Source organism: Homo sapiens, chromosome 12 (assembly GCF_000001405.40).
Source record: "Homo sapiens chromosome 12, GRCh38.p14 Primary Assembly".
NCBI classification, from domain to species: Eukaryota; Metazoa; Chordata; class Mammalia; order Primates; family Hominidae; genus Homo; species Homo sapiens.
Genome location: NC_000012.12, coordinates 123,225,140 through 123,232,413, shown reverse-complemented (window position 1 = coordinate 123,232,413; position 7,274 = coordinate 123,225,140). Strand labels below are relative to the sequence as shown.

General features: G+C 38.2%; 1 protein-coding gene across 24 annotated transcripts in view; it reads left to right on the top strand.

The window, feature by feature from the left end:
* Nucleotides 1-7,274, top strand: part of MPHOSPH9 (M-phase phosphoprotein 9) — a 91,679-nt gene that overhangs the window by 11,589 nt on the left and 72,816 nt on the right. For 20 of the 24 annotated variants that reach the window (XM_017018673.2, XM_047428066.1, XM_047428065.1 and 17 more), the window contains exons 2-3: nt 1,892-2,153; nt 4,798-4,951. In XM_017018673.2, the coding sequence (XP_016874162.1) occupies nt 2,050-2,153; nt 4,798-4,951 (258 nt within the window). In that variant the 5' untranslated portion in view covers nt 1,892-2,049. Of the gene's footprint in view, nt 1-1,891; nt 2,154-4,797; nt 4,952-6,062; nt 6,127-7,274 lie in introns of those variants that run through there. The other 4 variants (NR_103517.2, XM_047428069.1, XM_047428063.1 and 1 more) reach the window with 4 other exon arrangements.

Genomic DNA, 7,274 nt, shown 5'->3' with positions numbered 1-7,274 from the left:
TTATATTCATTCTGTATCAAGTTAAAAAAATTTTTTTTTGCATTGTATTTGTGGGTGTTTAAGGATTTTTCCCTCTTACTTCCCTGCCCTCCCCCCAGCACCTCCACCCCAAATGGAGAAGCATCTTTGAATTTCTAGTGGTTTTCCATCTGGATCTGCATCCGGATCCGGATTACCTTAGCAGGGGAAATAATAGATGGGGTTGCAGGTTCATCTCCCTGGAGAGCTTGTGTTTTCCTGGTGTAATAGCATGGTGATTGGAATCCAGGTATTTCTGTTGCCAGTTGGAAGGGGCAGTCCTTGACTGTTTCAATGCCCCATTTGTCGTGGGTGATGGGCTGAGCCACTGGGGAAAAGTCCATTTAGTTAGGTCCGGTTACCCTTTGCATTCACTCCTGTCCCTGAAGGAAATGGTCCCTGTTTTTGTGTAATGCTTTATAAAAGCAGGCCCTAGAAAGTGGGAATCTAGCAGAAGCGGAATACTAGATAATATTCCTGTTGCACTCTCTAAGCTTTTCAGTTTGTAAGCAGCTGAAGTTTTCTTTCTTTCTCCTTTTTCCTCTTGCTCCCTTGCTCTTTTATAAGTGCATGAATTCCCCAGGAAGGAGGCATCTTGTTTGACCTGTTACAGCCAATTTGCCATGGTATATATCCAGCTTCACTGAAATTTTAGTTGGCCTGGCAAATAATTTTTTTATTTTTATTTTTATTTTTTAAGAGATGGGGTCTTGGTCTGTTGCCCAAGCTGGAGTGCAGTGGCAGGATCATAGCTCACTGCAGTCTTGAACTCCTGGGCTGAAGTGATCCTCCCACCTCAGCCTCCAGAGTAGCTGGGACATGCTCCCAGTAGCTGCAGGCAGGCTCCAGTGTGCCCAGTGGTTTATTTTCTAAGAATAGCTGCACAGAGACAAAAGACCATATATATAGTTCAAAATGTACTTCCAGACAATGGGGAAGCTATGGTTGTTAACAGTTTAATTGGCTCTTTTTAATACAAATTAAATATTAAGTAGTTCAGTTCTTCTTGTCTCTGTATAAGTCAACAAACATATATACTTGGTAGAATTTATTAAACAAATGAACAAGGCATGCAAGTATTCCAATTGTTACATAATAGAATTATATCTAGAACTTTCATTGTAAAGCCTGGCAAAATGGTTTGCGCTATAATCCCAGCTGCTCGGGAGGCTGAGCACTTGAGGCCAGGAGTTGTAGACCAGCCTGGGCAACATAGCAAGATGCTGTCTCTAAAAAAAAGAACCTTGATTATTAAACATATAAAAATCTGAAATATTACCTGAAAAAGGTGATGCTACTTTTGCAAATAATCCTTAATGTAGATTTTTAATTGAGATACATAATTCACATACCATAAAATTCAGTCTTTTACAAGTGTACAATTCAGTGGTTTTTAGTTCACAAGGTTGTGCAGCCATCACCACTATCTAATTCCAGAATTTTTTATCACCCCAAAAAGAAACTCCATACCAGCTGCACTCACTCACATTCTCTCCTTCCCCAGCTCCTGGCAGCCATTTGTCTATGAATTTGCCCATTCAAGATATTTCATATCAATGAAATCATATAGTCTGTGGTCTTTTGTGACTGGCTTTTTTTACTTAGCATAGTATCTTCAGTGTTCATGTATGTTGTAGCATGTGTCTTTTTATGGCTGAATCCTATCCTGTTCTATGAATATGCTTCATTCGTTTATCCATTTATCCATTGATGGACATTTGGGTGGTTTCTACATTTTGATTATTATGAATACTGTTGCTATCCTTAATGGAGATCTGTATGAAAGCAGTTAAGGTTTCCAAAGTTATGTAAAAACAGTTGCTAGCTTTGGTGGCTTTTTATAGTAGTATTTTTTTCCCCCATTCATTTTCAGACTCTCTTGGAAGTTTAGGATATTTCACAGTTCTGAATGTTAGCCACTGAAAATGCCAGTAGATGATGAAGCCTCTGAAGATGACACGGATTCATTTTTCTCAAACAGCCCAAGAACCTTTATTTTCCAATAAGAGAATATAACAATTTCTGTACACTATGGAAGAGTTTGACTTGGTGAAAACCTTACACAAAACTTCATCTTCTGTAGGATCTGATGAAAATTCTCTTCATTCTCTTGGACTGAACTTAAATACTGATAGGTAAGAATGGGATTTAAAAAAAATGTACCAAATCAGAATAACCTTATTTGCATACGTTTATCAACTTATCCAAATAGTGTCATAGTTACTGATTTGAATTATTATTATTTTTTAACCTATCATCAAGAATGTTCAGGGAGGCTGGGCGCGGTGGCTCATGCCTGTAATCCCAGCACCTTGGTAGGCTGAGGCGGGTGGATCACCTGAGGCCAGGAGTTGGAGACCAGCCTGGCTAACATGGTGAAGCCTCGTCTCTACTAAAAATACAAAAATTAGCCAGGTGTGGTGGCACGCGCCTGTAGTCCCAGCTACTCAGGAGGCTGAGGCAGGAGAATTGCTGGAACCTGGGAGGCAGAGGTTGCAATGAGCCAAGATTGCGCCACTGCACTCCAGCCTGGGCGACAGAGCGACACTCTGTCTCAAAAAAAAAAAAAAAAAATGTTCGGGGACAGATGTTTAAGTCAGGAATAGGTTTGGTCTTTTCATGTTTCTCATTTCTCTCAGAGATATGTACTTTTGCATGGAAAGCATTCTGAAAAAGAACTTGTTTTGCTTGTTTTACTTTCCTTTATACTTTTTTGTTTGTTTTTGGTAAATTACAAGCATATCTTTAACATTTAGTTGCCTAAATATTATTTCTACATTTTTAAATGATTGGGACAATTGATGTTTTATGTTGCAGAAATACTTCACCAATGTGGGAAGTAGCAGTTAAAGTTGAGTATTAGGAAGTTAAGACAATAACAGACTCTAAGTAGACAAAATAGTGGACTAAATAGATGTTATCAAAGTGTGTTTTATGCATTTTATTAATTTTTTAAAATGCATTTTATTTTTAAGCTATCCTGTGATTGGTTTTTTATTTTTTAATGGTCTTAACACAGATCATGGTTTGTTTTTCATCAGAGCCTGTTTACTTTCAATTTGCACATAGTCTGACAAGCTTGGTTATTGGGTTTCTAAATTTATAGTAGTGTAGAAACAGCAAAGAGGCAAGGACTGTAAGAGAGGAGAGCATCTATAAAGAGCGGGTACAAGGAAGGAAAACAGCGGTTTTGGGGCCTTACTGGTAAAGGGGCAAGGAGCTTTAAACACGGTAGGTCTTGAAGAAATTGTGTATTATAAATAAATACATTACTTTAAAAGTTGTTAATTCTCTGCCCTTTTCAGGAGGAATTTAAGGCAGCTTACATGGGTATATAAAACAATGGGGGTGGGGAGTTGTAAAAAACAAAGGAATATGTGAAATAAAACGAGAAAAGGAAATTTTAAAAGGCACAGGAAATGGTCCTACAGTAATCTGTATGCACTTGCAGAAAGTTGGCCACGCATTTTGGTTCTTGTATTACTTGGTGGTCCCTTTAAAGTACACTTCTAGAAGATATTCCTGTTAGAACAGTGTTTGATTTGGCTGGAGGAAGCTAACTGTGCCTTGCTAGTGAAAATTAGGCAATTAAACTTGTCTTCCTTTTCATTGTGACTGGCAGTTAAATTGGCCACATTTAAACTTGATTATTACAGCTATGTAAAATCCTTTACTGATAACATATATTCTTTCCTTTGAATTTTTTTTTTTGACGGAGTCTTGCTCTGTCACTAGGCTGGGGTGCAGTGGTGCCATCTCAGCTCATTGCGATCTCCGTGTCCTGGGTTCAAGGGATTCCCCTGCCTCAGCCTCCTGATTGGCTGGGACTACAGGCACGCACTACCACACCCGGCTAATTTTTTGTATTTTAGTAGAGATGGTGTTTCACCATGTTGGCCAGGACAGTCTTGATCTCCTGACCTGGTGATCCGCCCGCCTTGGCCTCCCAAAGTGCTGGGATTACAGGCGTGAGCCACTGCGCCTGGCCTCCTTTGAATTTTTAGTAATATTTTCACTGGTCCTAACTATTATTTTATTGTTATTTTTATTTATTTTTTTAAACAAATTATTTGTGAAAGAAAGCAGGATATCAAGCAGTAAATAAATTAAAATGATCTTTTGGTGACTAGATTTTAAGTACATTTTAATGTCCTGAAATATATTGTGTGTTTATAAAACAAATCCGAAATAACTTACCTGAAGTTTGGAAAAGCAGTACTCCTGGAAAAACTCAGTGCTGTTTTACACACTGAGTAGGCTAAATAAGTCCTGAATATTTGCTGCTGATTTGCTTGGCACAACTTTTATGCAGAGATAGTGCAGAGATAAGCATCAGCTTATCGTACCAAATTAAGGGTGTCCAGTGAACAAGATTTGACTGTCATTTGGGGCAGTGGGGAAAGAATCCCCACTGCACAATGAAGGGCTGTTCTGAAAGTTGGGGGAAATAATCCTCTGGAATAGCTGAGATCAGAGAAGCTGGAAATTAATCTTATTGTTTAGCACAGACTTTTTCTATTTTCTGCCGATCCTTTGGAGTGTTCTCTCACTTCTGGAGAAGGTCTTCTTGTTGTGTTCTTAAAAAGAGTACAGTGCGGTCTTTTTACTGGCCGTTTCCTTTTGTGGAGCAACTTGTGATCAGATTTTGAACAAATGAGGTGCCATTAGAAGGATTAAATGTCAGTGGTTTTGTACTGCTCTGCTAAATCTTGAACTGCTGAATTATTCAACACTTTGATAGAATGAAGAAAACCATTTGAATTATTTATGTTTCAACAGAAGTAGTCCCCACCTTAGTACAAATGGGGTATCCTCTTTCTCAGGGAAGACCAGACCATCTGTAATTCAAGGTACAGTTGAAGTCCTAACTTCTTTAATGCAAGAGCTACAAAACAGTGGAAAGACTGATTCGGAACTTTGGAAAAACTGTGAGGTATCTAATTTTGTTTTATTTTTGGAATTTTAAAATAATTATGTTAAAACATACCTCTACTAAACTCTAAATTATTAGAAATTTATGTCCTGAAGAGCATGACACTTTTAAGTTAATGCTAAAGTGGTCAAGTATATTAATTTGGGAATGATATTGAATGAATGGGAAAAAGGTGATCAAAAGTATTTTTTAACAATATATTACTGATTAGACATACTAATTTGTATATTAAATATGAACTAAAACATTGTCTTGGTTCAGAGACCTGAGAATCCCAAAATTATTAAAATTGTTACTAATTGTAATGTTGTCAGTAACTTATATGGAATTGTCATCATTTTGAAAAACCTAAATCCACTTTGAAATATTTTCAATGTTCTAATTATAAATTGAAGCTTCTATTTAGTACCTTACCATATTCAGCTGTGATACATTGCATTATATTGTTTTCAGATCAGTGGTTCTTTCTTTGGTTCATAGGTTAAATTGTGATATAAAAATGTAACAGTTAAAAGAATACTTACATGGCCGAGCACAGTGGCTCACGCCTGTAATCCCAGCACTTTAGGCGGCCAAGGTGGGAGGTTTGGTTGAGGCCAGGAGTTTGAGACTAGCCTGGGCAAGATAGCGAGACCCTGTCTCTACAAATATAAATACATAAATAAATTAGCTGGTCATGGTGGCACGGTGTCTGTAGTCCTAGCTACTTGGGAGGCTGATGTGGGAGGATCACTTCAACCCAGGAAGTCAGGGTTGCAGTGAGCTATGATCACAGCACTACACTCCAGCCTGGGTGACAGACTGAGACCCTGTCTCTCTCTATATATAAAAAAAGAGAACCTGTAATCCCAGCACTTGAGGCAGAGGTGGATAGCTTGTGCCCAGAGTTTGTGACCTGCTTGGGCAACATAGCAAGACCCCCTCAGTAAAAAAAAAAAAAAGTATATATAAATTTTATTTCATAGGATAATGCTCAAGATAGACTTTCCTAAGGCTGGATTTGATAGTTTTTTATAGAAATGTTTAAACCATTATTAATTCTTAGAAAGCACTAGATCTTGTTTTAAACGTTAATTGTACTTTTAGAAGCATAATTTGTGTTATTTTTCAGAATGTAGAGTAAGCGAAATGAAAGATTACCTGGTTTAAGAATTCGATAGCAGCAACTGCTAAGTGTAATTATTTATATCCATTATCCATAATTATTGAAATTATAAAAAAGTATTATTATATGCTTAAAAAATTGAGTTTTCAGTTTTTATACTTTATGCTTGTTTGCATATAATAATCAGTATGCACTAACGTGAAAGACCTTTAAAAATGCCCATGCAAATGCAATTAAAAATGGAATGTTTTATTAAGTATATTAAATGCTTCCCTTAATGTATCTACTCATAAGCTTTTTGTTTATTTGTTTGTTTGTTTTTGAGACAGAGTCTTGCTCTGTTGCCCAGGCTGGAGTGCTATGGTGCGATCTCGGCTCACTGCCACCACTGCCTCCCAGGTTCAAGTGATTCTCCTGCCTCAGTCTCCCGAGTAGCTGAGATCACAGGCGAGCGCCACCATGCCCAGCTAATTCTTGTATTTTTAGTAGAGAAGGGGTTTAGCCATGTTGGCCAGGCTGGTCTCGAACTCCTGACCTCAGGTAATCTGCCTGATTTGGCTTCCCAAAGTGCTGGGATTACAGGCATGAGCCACCGTGGCTAGCCCTTATTAGCTTTTGATAACTGAATTAACATGCTTTAGGACAAAGGAGGCATTGCCACAATGTATTTTAACTTCTGGAAAATTTGTGTTTAACTAGAAATTGTTACTTTTGATAATTAGAAATCAACCTTTTTTTTTTGACATTAGCATCTTAAGTCAGAATCAGAATATATTCCCTGCCCCACCTCTCCTCTCCCCTCCCTCCCACCCCCTCCCTCCCTCCCTTCCTTTCTTCCTTCCTTCCTTTTCTTTGTTTCTTTTTCTCCTCTTTCATTCTCTCTCTTTTCTTTCTTTCTTTTTTTTTTTTTTTTTGAAATAGGGTCTCATTCTGTCATCCAGGCTGGAGTACAGTGGCACAATCTCTGTTCACTGTACCTTCAACCTCTTGGGCTCAAGCCATCCTCCCACCTCAGCTTCCCAAGTAGCTGGGACTACAGGTGCACACCACCATGCCCAGCTAATTTTTGCATTTTTTGTTGAGACAAGGTTTTGCTATGTTGCCCAGGTTAGTCTTGAACTCATGAACTCAAATGATCCACCCACCTTGGCCTCCCAAACTGCTAGAATTACAGGCATGAGCCGCTGTGCCCAGCCTCTGAGCTCTGTTTTTATAACA